The sequence below is a fragment of the Homo sapiens genome, chromosome X (genome assembly GCF_000001405.40).
Source record: "Homo sapiens chromosome X, GRCh38.p14 Primary Assembly".
Taxonomy (NCBI): domain Eukaryota; kingdom Metazoa; phylum Chordata; class Mammalia; order Primates; family Hominidae; genus Homo; species Homo sapiens.
Genome location: NC_000023.11, coordinates 23,874,735 through 23,892,382, shown reverse-complemented (window position 1 = coordinate 23,892,382; position 17,648 = coordinate 23,874,735). Strand labels below are relative to the sequence as shown.

Sequence of the window (17,648 nt, the reverse complement as noted above, 5' to 3'; positions counted from 1 at the left end):
CTTGGGAGGCTGAGGCAGGAGAATCGCTTGAATCCGAGAGACGGCGGAGGTTGCAGTGAGTGGAGATCGCGCCACTGCACTCCAGGCTGGGCGACAGTGCGAGACTCCGTCTCAAAAAAAAAAAAAATAATTAGCTGGGTGTGGTGGTGGCTGCCTGTAATCCCAGCTACTTGAGAGGCTGAGGCAGGAGAATCGTTTGAACCCCAGGGGCACGGAGGTTGTCTTGAGCCGAGATTGCGCCACTTCACTCCAGCCTGGGTGAAAGAGCAAAACTCTGTCTCAAAAAAAAAAAAATTTATTTTCATTCTTTATCATTAAAGAGTTGCTTTTATGTTGTCCTTTGTGTGGCTTGTAGGATCATTAAATAAGGTAGAGAATCTCATAAAAACAGTTTTGGAGAAAGATAGTTGAAAGCATAATGTCATACATTTTAAATATATAAATGTAAACTATATATAGAAATACATAAAGTATTATATATACTTAAACTATATAAACTATATTTTTAAGTATATATAGTATGTATAAGTCTATAAGTATATATATACATATAGTTTATATACATATATATAAACTTGGTAGAAGGGTAAGATACTGTAAGTGTATATATACTTACATAGAGAGAGTTTAAATTATTTACATGGAAAATAGAAATAATATATTCCATCACTCCAAAAAAAAGGTCACCTTTGGATATAGCCTGTTTGAAGTAGCAGTTGAAAAGCCTGGTAACATGTCCCTCAGGGAGTTAGAAACACAGGAAACACACAAGCCTGAGGCTTAGGGAGAGGCCCAGGCTAGGGATACTGATTTGAGCATCAGTAGCATATGAGTGGGAGTTAAAGACTTAGATTTTGGCCAGGTGTGGTGGCTCACGCCTATAATCCCAGCACTTTGGGAGGCTGAGGCAGGTGGATCCCTTGAGCCCAGGAGTTTGAGACCAGCCTGGCCAACATGGCGAAACCCTGTCTCTACTAAAAACACAAAAATTAGCTGAGCGTGGTGGCGGGCGCCTGTAATCCCAGCTACTTGGGAGGCTAAAGCATGAGAATCCCTTGAACCCGGGAGGCGGAGATTGTAGTGAGCCGAGATCAGGCCACTGGACTCCAGTCTGGGTGACAGAGCGAGACTCTGTCTGAAAGAAAAAAAAAAGAAAGAATTAGATTTTAATGAAATTGCCCTGGAGTGAGAAGAGGAGAGAGTTAAAGACTACTCCATGACTCATCAACCTTGAAGAGCTATGCAGAGGAAGAGAAGGCCCAAAAGGGGAGGAGAGAGTACCTAGAAAGCCTCTAGAATGGGGATAGGGTAGAATCCTGTAAGCCAAAGAAAGGGGTTGAAGATGTAGAGTAGTCACCAGTTTCAGGGTGCAACCAAGATGCCAGATGTCCAGTGGGGTTTAGCAACTGGGAGGCTATTGGTGGTCTTGGGAAGAAAGGTTTTAGGTGCATTTAGTAGTAAAGGGAGGAGGAGATAAAATTGAGAAAGCAAACAGAATCTGCCTTTTTGACTTTGTGCTTAAATGCGGATGCTCCTCAGCTTGTGGTGGGGTTGCATTCTGATAAACCTATCATAAGTTGAAAATATCATTAAGTCAAAAATTAACACACCTAACCTACCAAACATCATAATTTAGCCTACCCTCCCTTAAATGTACTCAGAACACTTCCAGTAGCCCACAGTTGGGCAGAATCATCTAACACAAAGCCTATTTTATAATAAACTATTGAATGTTTCATGTACATTATTGAATACTGCACTGAAAGTGAAAAGCAGAATGGTTATATGGGTACTCAAAGTGCGGTTTCTACAGAATGCGTATCGCTTCTGCACCATGTAAGGTTGAACCATTTGTAAGTCTGAGACCATTTGTATAACATACATATAGGAAAGTAAACGGGGCATAAGTGAATTTTTACAAACTAAACATACTAGCACTCTAGAAGCTCTTCTCGTGGCCCTTCTAGTCACTACCCAGCTTGCTAAGGGTATCCACTATTCTGCCTTCTAACCATAGTCTACTTTTAAAATAAATTTGTCAATGGAAGTTGGTAGAAGGGTAAGGTAGTTGTTAGAGAGGGAATTAGGGGTGGAGGGTATTTGTTGTGTTTTGTTTAAGACGGGAGAGATTTTCTTGAATGTAAATAAATGTCATAATTTCTCTAGTGGGTGGCCAGTCACTCTGTTTCTTTTTATATTTAGGACAGTTTTCATTTTATACTTTCAAATGTTTTTAAAAGTATGTTTGAGTGCTTATACAAACTTAAGTTGAATAACTGTTCTCTAAGCATATGTTTGTGGAATGGTGGTTTTCAAAACTTTGCTTATCTTGGGAATAGATTCTTGGGCCCCTCTTAGATTCAGAGTCAGACACTCTGGGGGAAGCTGTTAGAATCTATGCTTTTAAAAAATTCCCCAGGTGGGCCAGGCGCGGTGGCTGACGCCTGTAATCCCAGCACTTTGGGAGGCCGAGGTGGGCGGATCACGAGGTCAGAAGATTGAGACCATCCTGGCTAACACAGTGAAACCCCGTCTCTACTAAAAATACAAAAAATTAGCCAGGCGTGGTGGCTGGTGCCTGTAGTCCCAGCTACCAGGAGGCTGAGGCAGGAGAATGGCATGAACCCAGGAGGCGGAGCTTGCAGTGAGCCAAGATCGCACCACTGCACTCCAGCCTGGGCGACAGAGCGAGGCTCTGTCTTAAAAAAAAAAAAAAAAAAAAAAAACAACTCCCCAGGTGATTCTGAAACCTCTTGTGTACACAGGCCTGCAAAAGCCTTCTATCATGAAGCTGGCATATATTATAAATGGAAGTCTAATAAGATAATAGTTCTGTAATTGTGGGAGAAAAGAGTCACCCTTTTTTTAAATGGGAGAGAGTATTCACTAGATTCTCTATAAAGTTGAAAAAGAAAGCAAGTTGTTAGGTATTTGAGCCCCACCATTCATGAGAGTCTGAATAATTCTGAGGGTGACTTATTTAGCTTAAGGTTTTTATTTGTCTTTAAGGCAGTTTTACTGGAACATAATCACAACATGATCCCAGAGCTATGGAATTCTGGGCAGTCAGTGTACTTTTATTTGCAAAGCAAGAACAGTTTAGCCTTCTGGACACCCATTATGATTTGTTTGTTTACGACCTTACCAGATTCATGTCTTGGTAAACTGTGTCTAAGAATCTACCTTTAAAGCTGAGGGAGCTGACTGATAAACTCAATCTTTTTATTTTATTTTATTTTTTGAGGCAGAGTCTTGCTCAGTCACTCAGGCTGGAATGCAGTGACGCGATTATAGCTCACTGCATCCTTGACCTCCTGGGCTCAAGTAATCCTCCCACCTCAGCCTCCCAAGTAGCTGAGACCATAGGCATGCCCCAAACACCTGGCTAATTTTTTTTTTTTTTTTTGTAGAGATGGAGTCTTGTTATGTTGCCCAGGCTGGTCTTAAACTTCTGGCCTCAAGTGATCCTCCCACTTCAGCCTCCTAATAAACTCAATCTTATGCCTGAATCTTTTTTTTTTTTTTTTTTTTTTGAGATGAAATCTCACTCTGTTGCCCAAGCTGGAGTGCAGAGGTATAATTTTGGCTCACTGCAACCTCCACCTTCCAGGTTCAAACGATTCTCTTGCCTCAGCCTCCCGAGTAGCTGGGACTACAGGCACATGCCACCATGCCTGGCTAATTTTTGTATTTTAGTAGAGATGGAGTTTCAGTGTGTTGGCCAGGCTGGTCTTGAACTCCTGACCTTGTGATCCACCTGCCTCGGCCTCCCAAAGTGGTGGGATTATAGGCGTGAGCCACTGTGCTGGGCCCTGAATCTTTTTTTGAATGTTAATTTATTTTTTAAATTGTGGCCTGAGTCTTTGATTAAATTCATAAGCTTCCTGGAAGCTCTATAAGAGCAGGGACCTTGTCTGCTTATGTGTTTTATCTGTTTAGTACCATGTCTGACATGATGTGGGTGTGCAGTAAATATTTGTTTTTGAAATAAAACCCTGGTTGACCTCTTCTAATTGTTATATATAACCTTGCTTGCCTGACCAGATTTGTTTTGCCAACATCAGTCCTTCGCAAGCTTCAGTGGAGACAGAGTAAGAACCAAATGTCTTTAAGATGATGACAGCCTACCCCTTTACACTTCTTGTTAGGGCCTCATCTAACCCAACACCAATACTGGTTGCTCTGTTTCCATTGACAAGCCCCTTGCGGGCTGTGCGAAACAAAAGTTTTGAGACATAGAGAGTCTAAGGTCCAAGATAGAGTGTACCTTGATACTTTGCTGGGGAGTAGGATCAGACCAGAAAGAAAGAAGAGTTAGCCACAAGAGTGAGAAAACTCAATGACACTCCCTCTGAGGTTTGCAAAGCTAAGGGCCACCAGTTTACCTTTAAGCCAAATTTTCGTTTTCTCTGTGACTATGGGTCTTACAGCTGTATTCAAAACCTCAGAGAAGCCAACACATTAGAGTCCTTACTTTGAGACCCCCAACTAGCTGAATGCCAAGAAAGGCATTTAGTAACTGAAGGGTATACTCCCGAGGGGCTGGATCTAAAGAAATGCCACCTTTGATCTAGCCTGTAACTTAGCACTAATTGGAGATTCAGCTCTTAACAGAGCTTGCTTGACTTTGATTGAGCAAGCCTAACTCATATAATGCAAAGTAGACCATATCTAATCAGTTCTTGGCAGGTGCATATGTACTCATTTTCTGAGCCAACTCATCTGCCCTGACCAGGGAGTGTACCTGGCAACAAGGCTTCTCAAGGACTATCACTTGGGAAAGGGAGTGCTCAGGGCGTGGGTACATGCAGTCTAGAGATTACAGCCCTGCATCAGAAAAAGTTTGGGGGAGGCCGGGCACAGTGGCTCATGCCTGTAATCCCAGCACTTTAGGAGGCCGAGGCGGACGGATCACAAGGTGAAGAGATCAAGACCATCCTGGCCAACATGGTGAAACCCCGTCTCTGCTAAAAATACAAAAATTAGCCGCATGTGGTGGCGCACACCTGTAGTCCCAGCTACTTGGGAGGCTGAGGCAGGAGAATGGCTTGAACCCAGGAGGCGGAGGTTGCAGTGAGCCAAGATCATGCCACTGCACTCCAGCCTGGCGACAGAGGGAGACTCTGTCGCAAAAAAAAAAAAAAAAAAAAAAAGGGAAAAAGAAAAAGTATGGGGGAGATTTCACTTCTTGGGAGGTATATTCAGTCCGATTATATCATAATGGGTCAGGACTCCTCATGGAGAGAGAATACCTTTGTGTTCATGTCTCACAAAGCAACCCATCCAGAGTGCGAACAGGAGGAAAGTTGATAAGGCTAGAGATTTTTTTTTATTATGTCCCAGACCCTGAAAGTTGATTGTGTTTCTTCAAAGAACTGGATTGTTCTTCCTTGGGGAGACAAAAGATTGAAGAAGGTTCATCTCCTCTTTGTGCCCTTACACTGTCCTGGGGTGATTCTACCCATCTTAGCCTTTCCCTTCTTAAATCCTGATTTTGAATAGGTTGGCCTGAATACTCAATATGAGCCCTAACAAATTATGATAACCACCTGGCAGGCACACAGTGTCGAAGATGGCCATTTGTGATGACATCTGGTCTGGCCAGCTTCCTTTTTACTGTTAAGAGGGAAAGGTGGTGAGCATGCTGAGGCAGGGTGGGGTCATCTCGCACCAGGAGGAGCCCCCTTTGAAGCTAAAAAGGAAGATGAATCAGCCAAGATGTTGAGTGCATCAGCTTCAGCCATGTCTACCTGGGGACCTTTTACCAAGGCTCCTCCCATGGGTTTCCATCACACAGATCTATACCAGTTCCTTACCATGGTCAGGTGTGTGGCTGGCTCCTTAGGAATGAGCTTGGCATGGATTAGGTGTGCTAGAGCTGATGGATTTTTTAAAAAGTCTAATTTACATAGAGTGAAATACATAGATTTTTAAGTTGTACAGTCTTAGTTGTACAATTTGAGCTTTGACAAATGTATATACCTTGAATAACCCATACCCCAATCAAGATTGTTTCACCCCAGAAAGTTCACTTGTGCCACTTCTCAGTAAGTCCACTTCCTTCCAACTCCCACCTCCCCGGCCTAGTAGTGATTGTTCTGGTTTCTCACTATGTTTGAGGCCATGGGTTTTAAAACATACAGATTTTCTTCAAGTCTAGATGGTGAGAGATGTCAGAAAGTAATACTTACTCAAGTAAATCAGAGGTTCTCAGTGGGAGAGTTGCTCCCCAGGAGACATTTGGCAGTGTCTGGAGATGTTTTTGACTGTCGTGACTGGGAGGAGGTGCTACTGGCATCTAGTGGGTAGAGGCTAGGGATGCTGCCAAACTTCCTGCAGTGCACAGGACAGCCCCACAAAGAAGGACCCAACCCAAATGTCAGTAGTGCTGAGTTTGAGAAATCCTCGAGTAAATCATGTGTTCTCTGCAAACTAAGAATTATGGTCCTGGGGAGTGTTCATTTGTAGGTCTCCCAGGTCTCCTGGGGTGAGGTTTGCTTTTTCTTTGTTTTGTTTGCTTGTCTGTTGAGAGCCTGCTGGAAGCTGAAAAGGCCGCTGCAGGAGCCAGCTTTCTTTGGTGCTACCACCCTTGTGGCCACAGTTCTTGCTGTGGAATGGGTATCAGGGTAGGCTTAGGGAGGAAAACTAATAGGAGAAGAGGAAGAAGAAGAAAACAGTTTAGGCAGTAAAGGGAGGCAGGCCTAGAATAATATTAAAACTAGAAAAACAAGTAAGATAAGAGGGGAAGGTAAAGTAGAAATTAATAATTAAGAATCCAATAAAATGTTAAAGGAAATGAGTTGAGATTTAAAATCAAAGATAGGCTGAGTGTGTTGGCTCACACCTGTAATCCCAGCACTTTGGGAGGCCAAGGCGGGAGGATTGCTTGAGCTCAGGAGTTCGAGACCAGCTTGAGTAACATGATGAGACCCTGTCTCTGCTATATATATATAGTTATGTATAGATATAGTTATATATTTATATATATATATAATATATATATTTGCCGAGGCTGGAGTGCAGTGGCACGATCTCGGCTCACTGCAACCCCTGCCTCCCAGTTTCAAGCAATTCTCCTGCCTCAGCCTCCCGAGTAGCTGGGATTACAGGCGTCTGCCACCACGCCTGGCTAATTTTTGTGTTTTTTGTAGAGACTGGATTTCATCATGTTGGCCAGGCTGGTGTCGAACTCCCGACCTCAGGTGATCCACCCACCTCGGCCTCCCAAAGTGCTGGGATTACAGACGTGAGCCACCGCACCCGGCCTTACTGTGCTTTATGAGAAATAAATACACCCCTGAAGTGCTGAGGAAGTCCAGACCCAAAAAACATGTTCTTATGGACTTAAAATTTCAGGTCAACTTTTTCTTAATTTCCAAAAGACAACAGTTTCTAAGTTTGCCTACTTTAGCTTTTCAAGTAAAATAAAAGATACATAGATAGATGACTAGACCTCTAGCTGTCTGTCGGTCTCTGGAACATGTCCAAAACCAACTCATCATTTTTCCCTCAGACTTGCCCCTCTTTTTCTACTTCCTCTCTCAGGAATGCTGTGTCACCACCCAACTAGAAAAACCCATCGGAAACCCCAAGGTCACTTAAAATCTACTCTTTTCCTGATTTTCGAAAATCCAATACATTGTTGTTAACTCTAGTCATTATGTTGTACAACAGATCTCTTGAACTACTCCTCCTAACTGAAACTTTGTACTTTTGACCAATATCTCCCCAACTCCCCCCAGCCCTTGCCCTGGTAGCCACCATTGTGCTCTCTACTTCCATTAGTTCAACCTTTTTAGATTCCACAAAAATTAATTTGTGAGGTAGTGCATATGTTAATTAGCTCAATTTAGCCATTCCACAATGTACACATATTTCAAAACAGCATGTTGTACACAATAAATATACACGATTCTTGTCAGTTTAAAAATTAAAATAAATGAAAATAAAAATTAAACCAAGGTCATCGTCACTCTTCCTTTCCCTTTGGTCACTAAGTCCTGCTAATTTTGCCTATTAAACTATCTCAATTCTACTTTCTCCTCTTTCTCCTCTCCTGTGCAATCTTTCCTTGGGCCCTTATTTCTTTCCTTCATTGTTTTAGCAGCACCATAACTGGTCAGCTGGCCCTTTAATGACTTAAAGCGCCACACTGAGAAATAATCGTCTTTCTAAATGGCAAACTCGATTCTATATTCCATCCTTATTTGAGATCTTTTGGTATTTATTACCTAGGACTTTTATGTGAGCCACACGAGTCCCATTATGATCTGGCTACAACCAACTTCTCTGACTCATCTCTCTGTCACTCTGCTCCCTCCCACAAAACTCGAACTCCCTACACTTCTCCCATGCTGTTTCCCAGCTTCGTGGCTTCACACATGCTGATTCCTCTGTCTATAATGTCCTATACTTGTTTTGTCTTTCTGTAGAACTGCCTAAGAGCCGGGAGAATTCATGCTTTTGAAACAAGGGGAATTTCCCTTGTCCCTCTTACAGGGCATGTGATGGGAGTGTGGCCCACTTCTTAGGTGCCCCACTGCTCAAAACCCCTAGGGAAAGCAGGCAGATGGGCAGGTCGTGGGGAGTGTGGGCTCCAACCCCATGGCAGCGTCTAGGGGTGGATGTTTACAGCTTCTGCAGCCCCAGTGGGCGTGTGTTACGTGTGCTCTTTTAGTTTTGCTGTCAGTAGGCAGCTTGTGTTCATCAGCTCAGTTAGACCCTCTGCCTTATTGCAAGGACAGAGGGCTTTCTGTATCCTAGGGTTCTTGCCTGAGTATACCAGAAAAACCGGATCACACGTGGGCTTGGAGGATGAGTGCAAGGTTTTATTGAATGGTGGAAGTAGCACTCAGCAGATGGAAACGGAGCCAGAAGGGGTATGGAGTGGGAAGGTGGTTTTCCCCTGGAGTCAGGCCGCTTAGCAGCCAGGCTCTCCTCTGACCGCCCTCAGCCAAACTCCGCGTTGTCCTGCCGTTCTGCTGTTGGTGGCCTGCCGGAGTCTGTCACTGTGTTCTTCTGCTGGTATGTTGTTCCTTGCCTCTGCTTCTCTTGACGTCCAGCCGCTTGTGTGCCTGCCCGCTAGGGTCTCGGGGTTTTTATAGGCACAAGATGGGAGTGTGGTGGGCCAGGGTGGTCTTGGGAAATACGATATTTGGGCACAAAAACAGAAATGCCTGTCCTCACCTAGGTTGGTGGGCACAGGCCCAGGGGTGGAGCCCTAGCCAGGGACCACGCCCTTCTCTACCCAGCATTTCCCTGCCTGCCCCTCCCGTATCACTTTTCTTTTATTTATTTACTTTTTGAGACAGGGTCTCGCTCTGTTGCCCAGGCTGGAGTGCAGTGGCAGTATCTTGGCTCACTGCAATCTCCACCTCCTGGGTTCAAGCGATTCTTGTGCCTCAGCCTCCCTTATTTTATTTTTTAATCTGTCCCAGGCCAAGTGCAGTGGTTCACACCTATAATCCCAGCACTTTGGGAGGCCGCGGTGGGTGGATCGTTTGAATCCAGGAGTTTGAGACCAGCCTGGGCAACATGGCAAAACCCTGTCTCTACAAAAATTACAAAAATGAGCTGGACATGGTGGTGCATGCCTGTAGTCCCAGCTATTTGGGAGACAAGACAGGAGGAGTGCTTGAACCTGGGATGGGAAGGTTGCAGTGCAGCAGAAATCCTGCTGCTGCACTCCAACCTAGGCAACAGTGTGAGACCCTGTGTAAAAAAAAAAAAAAAAGTTTGTCCATTTATTTACATCTATCAAGTTCTTCCTACCAGAATGGAAGCCCTTTCAGGGTGAGGATATGTCTTACTCCATATTCCTATTTCTATGGCTGTGCCTAACACACAAGGCATGCTCAATAATTGTTTATTTCCTGCTCAAATGAGACAAAAGGAAATGGATGGAGGAGAGGTGGAAAATAAATGAGTGATTGATTTCTCTCTAACTATTTAGGCATGATTTAGCATCTTGGAAATCATATTACTGAGATTTGCAGTGCCTGTAATGTGAAAGATGAGGCTATTCTGTAATACAAAACGTAATGCCAGCTAAAATATAACAAAAATATCTGTTGAAACGTATGGCTGCAAATTCCCATATTTCAGAAGCAAATAAAGAGCTGAAAGCCATTAAGAAAAAAAAGGGTGGTTGTTACTTTAACTGGTTTAAAAACAATTGATACATCTTGAAGTATTAAGTGTGCATCTTGAGGTCTTAATTTCAATGCAGTTTTGCTACAGATTTCTTTTGCTTCCACGATACAGATTAGCCAGCTAGTGCTGACATTAGTTCATGTGGTTTGTGCCCATCACAATTATTAGGCAGAACCAGCAGCACCAGGATACAACCTAAGGAGATCAACGTCCCTCCTAGAAAACTGCCACGGCCTTCGCAGGAGGGGTCTGAATTTTTTTTTTTTTTTTTTTTTTTTTTTTTGAGGTGGAGTCTCGCACTGTCACCCAGGCTGGAGTGCGGTGGCACAATCTTGGTTCACTGCAACCTCCACCTCCCAGGTGCAGGTGATTCTCCTGCTTCAGCCTTCTGTGTAGCTGGGATTACAGGTGCCCGCCACCACGCCCAGCTAATTTTTTTTTTTTTTTTGTAATTTTAGTAGAGACGGGATTTCACTATGTTGGCCAGGCTGGTCTCGAATGCCTGACCTGGTGATCCACCCACCCGCCTCTGCCTTCCAAAGTGCTGGGATTACAGGCGTGAGCCACTGCGTCCAGCACATTTTTTATATTCACAATTAAATTAATAAACCATAACTCTCCTCCTCTCAGCCCATCTTTTTTTTTTTTTTTTTTTTTTTTTTTTTTTAGTGGAGCGATTATTTTGTGTGTGTGAAACAGAGTCTCACTCTATTGCCCAGGCTGGAGTGTAGTGGCATGATCATGGCTCACTGAAGCCTCAAACTCAAGAGTTCTCCCACCTCAGTCTCCTGAGTAGCTGGGACTACAGGCACACACCACCATGCCTGGCTGATTTTTTAAAAAAATATATTTTGTAGGCCAGGTGCACTGGCTCACACCTGTAATCTCAGCACTTTGGGAGGCCGAGGCGGGCGAATTACCTGAAGTCGGGAGTTCGAGACCAGCCTGGCCAACATGGCAAATCCCCATCTCTACTAAAAATACAAAAATTAGCCGGGTGTGGTGGCAGACGCCTGTAATCCCAGCTACTTGGGAGGCTGAGGTAGAAGAATCGCTTGAACCTGGGCGTTGGAGGTTGCAGTGAGCTGAGATCACGCCACTACACCGCAGCCTGGGTAACAGAGCAAGACTCCATCTTGAAAACATAAAAATAAATAAAAATAAAATAAAGCACAGTAAGCCTTTCAGGGTGGGGAGTGGCTGAGGTTATGAATATGCTCATGTTCTGCACATTCGGTCTGTAACATAGAGAGGTTTAAGATTGCTTCTGCATTTCAGGTAATTCAGAGGTCCGTGGGGCCAGCCAGCCTGAGCTTGCTCACCTTCAAAGTCTATGCAGCACCAAAAAAGGACTCACCTCCCAAAAATTCCGTGAAGGTTGATGAGGTAACATGTTGTTCATGTTGCGATATATTTTGAGTGTCTGATTTAGTTACTGTAGGATAATTTTTTACAAATTGTATATCAGGAAGATGTGACTGTTTAAAATACATTTATTTATTTATTTATTTATTTATTTATTTATTTATTTTGAGACGGAGTTTCGCTCTTGTTGCCCAGGCTGGAGTGCAATGGTGCGATCTCGGCTCATTGCAACCTCCTCCTCCTGGTTCAAGCCATTCTCCTGCCTCAGCCTCCCAAGTAGCTGGGATTATAGGCATGTGCCACCACGCCTGGCTAATTTTGTATTTTTAGTAGAGACAAGGTTTCACCATGTTGGCCAGGCTAGTCTCGAACTCCCGACCTCAGGTGATCCACCTGCCTCGGCCTCCCAAAGTGCTGGGATTACAAGCGTGAGCCACCACGCCCAGCCAGAAGACATTTAAACAGAGAAAATATATTTCCTTATAGTTTGTTTAATTTGTGGGAAATATTAAACTATGGCTTTTTCAACAGATAAACTTTAATGATACTTAGGTAAGGGCACAATTAAGGAATACTTTATAAATGTTTACTGGGGAATCCACTGTGTCCCAACAGGTTATAAGCACAACTCACTTTTCTAAGTGGTCTGCCTGATTCTTGGCTTATCTTGATTCTTATCGAGCCAAGAATATATTCACATTTTTTCCTCTCTAAGAAATTAGAGATCTGGATCCTTTCTGTTTCTTGGCTAGAGGAGCCGCTCATAAGTATGTACTTAATAAATACTAAATTTAAAAAAAAAAAAAACAAGAAATCTTCTCTCTACTGTTTACATTCCTTTTTGGTCTGTACTTCCCACTAATTATTTTGGATATTCAGTTTCTGTTGCCTTTGAATAAAGTGAGGTAAGGATCTACCTTCAGTCCTGGGTAGGGTTACTAGATTGGTGTTTACATAAAGCTAATTAGCTTATCTTTTGCCCTTTACTCGCTTCTCAGGCCTTGGCACAGTGGCATTTTTGAGGGTAAAGAAGGCAGCCAGCAGTGGCTGTAAGAAGTTCTCTGGGTGGAGAATAAACCTGCTGTCCTGCTTTGATTAACATCAGACCAATCATTTGAACTGAATGACATGCCCTTTGGTTACTCTCAAGCTTTTTTAACCCCTTCACCCACCCTTTAGAGTAATAAAATCTTTTTTCCAAGCTCAATCTAAGGTGGAATACCAAATACCAGTATATAAAATGGATAAAGAGGAGCTGCTTTGTTTGTAGTCAGTGGGTGGGGAGAAAGTAGGACACCTCATAGCCCTGCCCTTTTGGCCTTGGCCTCGTTGATTATGGAAATAAGGTGCAGAGATAGTTTGAGATAAAGTTCAGGTTGCTTGTAACCCTTAGAGTCACTGGAATTCATGAAGTATTATTATTATTATTTTTGAGATGGAGTCTCACTCTTGCCTAGGCTTGAGTGCACTGGCACAATCTTGGCTTACTGCTACCTCCACCTCCCAGGTTCAAGAGATTCTCCCGCCTCAGCCTCCCAAGTAGCTGGGATTACAGGCGCCTACCGCGACACCTGGCTAAGTTTTGTATTTTTAGTAGAGACTGGGTTTCGCCATGTTGGCTAGGCTGGTCTCGAACTCCTGACCTTAAGTGATCCGCCTGCCCTGGCTTCTCAAAGTGCTGGGATTACAAGCGTGAACCACCACACCCGACCACAGAGTCACTGTAATTCATGAATTACTAGAAATATTATATTAAATACTTACAAATTTGATAAATGTATCCTGTAGACAGTACATCTTTTAAATCTTTGTTTTGTTTTAATGTGCGCAGCTTTCACTCTACTCAGTTCCTGAGGGTCAATCGAAGTATGTGGAGGAGGCAAGGAGCCAGCTTGAAGAAAGCATCTCACAGCTCCGACACTATTGCGAGCCATACACAACCTGGTGTCAGGTACAACTGTTCTGAAAATGGAGTGAACGCATTTCTGTTTAGAGTCCATAGAGGAAAGTCTGTATTGGCTGCATGTTTTTGGAAAAAGGCATGATAAAGGGCCCTGAGATGGTTGACAGAGGCTGGGAAGGGTAGTGGGGGTCTGGGGGAAAGGTGGGGATGGCTAATGGGTGCAAAAAAAAAAAATAGCAAGTAGCAAGAATGAATAAAACCTATTTGATAGCACAACAGGATGACTGTAGTCAACAATAATTTAATTGTACATTTTAAAATAACTTAAAGAGTGTAATTGGATTGTTTTTAACACTAAGGATAAATGCTTGAGCGGATAGATTCCGCATTCTCCATATTGTGCTTATTTCACATTGCATGCCTGTGTCAACACATCTCATGTGCCCCATAAATGTATATACCTACTACGTACCCACAAAAAATGTTGAAATACAAGGCCCCAAGTTAAAAGTGCCTGACTTACAGATGTTCTTCAGTGCCATCTGAGGAGGGGTTGCAGAGATGCCCTAGCTTCCTGGTGACAGCTGTTGCCACAGCTACAGAGAGAATTTCCCTCTCCCTGGGCAGTGCGTAACGCCTTAACTAGAGAGCAGAGGGGCTAGGAACTACCTTGTTGCTTGCAGTTATGAAAACATTGTTGTCTACCAGGGGAGGCTTGTGGGCTGGAACTCTAAACAAAGGAAAAAGATGCAACGTAAACACTTACATAAAAATTGCGAAGTTTTTCTCCCCCCACTATACAAATCAGTGCCACTTAAACCAGGAGGGGATATGGCATTTTGAATGCTATACTAAAATAGGGTAGAATTCCATACTGGATTACTGAACTATTTGTTCTAGTGACCAAAGAACTACATATACAGATTGGTTTCTGTCCCTGCCTGGGTTTTAGGTCAGGCATTTGTCATTACGTAAATGAAAAGTATTTCTGTGATTTTTAACATCAGTAACCAACGTTTACAATCTATAGAATGCTTTTGTAGGCTTTGATACATATGTTTGTTGTACTTGATCTTGATTTTGAAAATTGAAATTAATAAAAACTAATAGATGTAGATATGTGGGAAATTGTCTAGATTTACCTTGCTTGAGATTTATAAATTTAGTCTTTTTGTTTTTTTTTTTTTTTGAGAGGGAGTCTTGCTCTGTCGCCCAGGCTGGAGTGCAGTAGCGTGCTCTCAGCTCACTGCAACCTCCACCTCCCGGGTTCAAGCAGTTCTCCCGCCTCAGCCTCCCAAGTAGCTGGGATTACAGGCACGAGCTACCATGCCTGGCTCATTTTTGTATTTATCGTAGAGGCAGAGTTTCGCCATGTTGGCCAGGCTGATGTCGAACTCCTGACCTCAAGTGATCTGTCCACCTTGGCCTCCCAAAGTGCTGGGATTACAGGCGTGAGCCACCATGCCTGGCCTAAATTCAATTTTGATCCAGAGCTTGTTTAAAAATTTTTAATTTCCGTTGCCTATGCTGCTGTTGAACTTTTGTTCACCAATTTAGAAAGAAAATAGTAAAGCATGGACTCTATCAACAATAAGAATTAGGCCATTATACTTAAGTATCATAACCATATTATTGAGTTAAGTAATACCTAAAGACTTTAAACATAACATGTTGTAAAATGATTAGACTTTATTCTCTTGTTCTAGAAGATTTTTAAACTTCTGGTAGTTAAGATAAAGTCAGCAAATTTGTGTGTATATTTTTGTATCATGTAGGCATGACTACTGTTACTTGTAGTCTGTCTGTTTTTTTTGTTTGTTTGTTTGGTTTTTTTGGCAATAAAAGTACTTTGTACCTTTTAGCCTAAGGTTGCTTTTTGTTTTTTACCTTTTCTTCCATGCGTGATACTCAGTGCAGCAAAATACCTCTCTGGATGATGGATTAGTTATCTATATGTTTATTTCCACTACTACTAAATATAAAAACTTGCTTGTAATTATAATAGTTTTTGTAATTATAATGGTTTTGTTTTCCTGGGTAGAACAAAGCCTTTATGAGTAGAAATATTTCTAATTCCTGGTTCCTTTTTCAGACCAGCAATTTCTAGCCCTTTTCTTGAAGAACCAATTTAATTTTGTTTTTTTGTTCTTTGTTTTTCTTTTTTTGAGACGGAGTCTCGCTCTGTTGCCAGGCTGGAGTGCAGTGGTGCAGTCTCAGCTCACTGCAACCTCCGCCTCCCGGGTTCAGGTGATTCTCCTGCCTCAGCTTCCTGAGTGGCTGGGACTACAGGCGTGTGCTACCAAGCCCAGATAATTTTTGTATTTTTAGTAGAGACGGGGTTTCACCATGTTGGCCAGGATGGTCTTGATCTCTTGACCTTGTGATCCGTCCACCTCGGCCTCCCAAGGTGCTGGGATTACAGGCATGACCCACTGTGCCCGGCCTTAATTTTTTTTAATAGTAAAAATATTAAGCTAGCAAAAGAAGTCGGCAATCATTCTAGATATTGATCTGAAGTTTTTTCTTTTTTTTTTTTTTTTTTGGTAGAGACAAGGTTTCACCATGTTGCCCGGGCTGATCTCGAACTCCTGGGCTCAAGAGATCTGCCCACCTCAGCCTCCCAAGTAGCTCGGACATCATACACATACCACCATGCCCAACTAATATTTTTATTTTTATTTTTATTTTTTTTATTTTTTTGAGACGGAGTCTCGCTCTGTCCCCCAGGCTGGAGTGCAGTGGCGCGATCTCGGCTCACCGCAAGCACCGCCTCTGGGTTCACGCCATTCTCCTGCCTCAGCCTCCCGAGTAGCTGAGACTACAGGTGCCTGCCACCACGCCCGGCTAATTTTTTTGTATTTCTAGTAGAGACCAGGTTTCACTGTGTTAGCCAGGATGGTCTCGATCTCCTGACTTCGTGATCCACCTGCCTTGGCCTCCCAAAGTGCTGGGATTACAGCCGTGAGCCACCGTGCCCAGCCTAATATTTTTATTTTTTTGTAGAGATGGGGTCTCTGCTGTGTTGCCCAAGCTGGTTCTCAAATTCCTGACCTCACGAGATACTCCTGTCTTAGCCTCCCAAAGTGTTGGGATTACAGGCGTGAAATAATGGATTTTAATGAAGCGATACTCAGTTCTTTAGATCTTCTGGCTAATTCGGCATTTATTATTTCAGGTCATTTAAAAGAATGAGGATAGCTTGTTCTGACTTGAACTGAATTACACAAAACAAATCCTTTTCCAGGCCGGGCGCAGTAGCTCACGCCTGTAATCCCAGCAGTTTGGGAGGCCAAGGCAGGTGGATCACCTGAGGTCAGGAGTTTGAGACCAGCCTGGCCAACATAGCGAAACCCTGTCCCTACCAAAAATACAAAAATTAGTTGGGCGTGGTGGCGGGCACCTGTAATCCCAGCTACTCGGGAGGCTGAGGCAGGAGTAATCACTTGAATCCAGGAGGCGGAGGTTGCAGTGAGCCGAGGTCGCGCCACTGCACTCCAGCCTGGGCGACAAAAGCGAAACTCTATCTCAAAAAAAAAAAAATTAATTAATAAAAATAAAAATAAAAAAAAAATCCTTTCCCAAATGGCAACTAGTTTTGATACCTTCTGATACCCATGTATCTCTTCTTGTCTTCACTGTAGACTTCTTGAAGGTGGGTACCTTCTAGCGGGTCCCTCGTTTCCTTTAGGATCATGTGATATTCATGTACAAAGCCTTTTTTTTTTTTGAGACACGCCCAGGCTGGAGTGCAGTGGCGCCATCTCGGCTCACTGCAACCTCCGCCTCCTGGATTGAAGTGATTCTCCTGCCTCAGCCTCCCGAGTAGCTGGGACTACAGGCGCGTGCCACCACGCCCGGCTAATTTTTGTATTTTTAGTAGAGACAGGGTTTCACCATGTTGGTCAGGCTGGTCTCCAACTCCTGACCTCAGGTGATCTGCCCCACTCGGCCTCCCAAAGTGCTGGGATTACAGGAGTGAGCCATCATGCCTGGCCACAAAGCCTTTTTATTGTTTTTAAGAGAATGTTGACACCTCATTTGCTTTGGGCTATAGCCTTTGTCTCATTAAAGCTGGTCATTCTTGCTTCAAATGGGCAGTTTCCAGATGTAGGCTCTAATTAATGGCAGATCAGGAAGTAGTTAATATGAAAGACAGGTTTAATCTCATGGAGAAAAGCTTGCCACTTAAATATCAAGGGGATTGATTTTTAGTCTATTTTTTCCATTT

The 17,648-nt window shown here is 43.3% G+C and overlaps 1 protein-coding gene across 7 annotated transcripts in view, besides 2 other annotated features; it reads left to right on the top strand.

The window, feature by feature from the left end:
- The window catches only part of APOO (apolipoprotein O), a 74,586-nt gene that overhangs the window by 15,556 nt on the left and 41,382 nt on the right, over positions 1-17,648 (top strand). For 5 of the 7 annotated variants that reach the window (NR_026545.4, NM_024122.5, XM_017029837.2 and 2 more), the window contains exons 2-3: positions 11,431-11,538; positions 13,349-13,468. Coding sequence is in view for 6 of the 7 variants with exons in the window: in NM_024122.5 (NP_077027.1) it covers positions 11,431-11,538; positions 13,349-13,468 (228 nt within the window). In the remaining variant the exon portion in view is untranslated. The remainder of the gene's footprint in view (positions 1-11,430; positions 11,539-13,348; positions 13,469-17,648) is intronic. The other 2 variants (XM_011545587.4, XM_024452447.2) reach the window with 1 other exon arrangement.
- Positions 4,804-4,981: a silencer, noted in NCBI's record as "fragment chrX:23905519-23905696 (GRCh37/hg19 assembly coordinates)". NCBI's record gives its function as "represses an EF-1alpha promoter that drives an FKBP-Casp9 reporter gene in an ReSE screen in phorbol 12-myristate 13-acetate-treated (for megakaryocytic differentiation) K562 erythroleukemia cells {active_cell/tissue: K562(+PMA)}" and the evidence as "EXISTENCE:reporter gene assay evidence [ECO:0000049][PMID:32094911]".
- Positions 8,798-9,564: an enhancer, noted in NCBI's record as "H3K27ac-H3K4me1 hESC enhancer chrX:23900936-23901702 (GRCh37/hg19 assembly coordinates)". NCBI's record gives its function as "activates a minimal SCP1, AML or CMV promoter by ChIP-STARR-seq in naive H9 embryonic stem cells {active_cell/tissue: H9 hESC(naive)}" and the evidence as "EXISTENCE:reporter gene assay evidence [ECO:0000049][PMID:30033119]".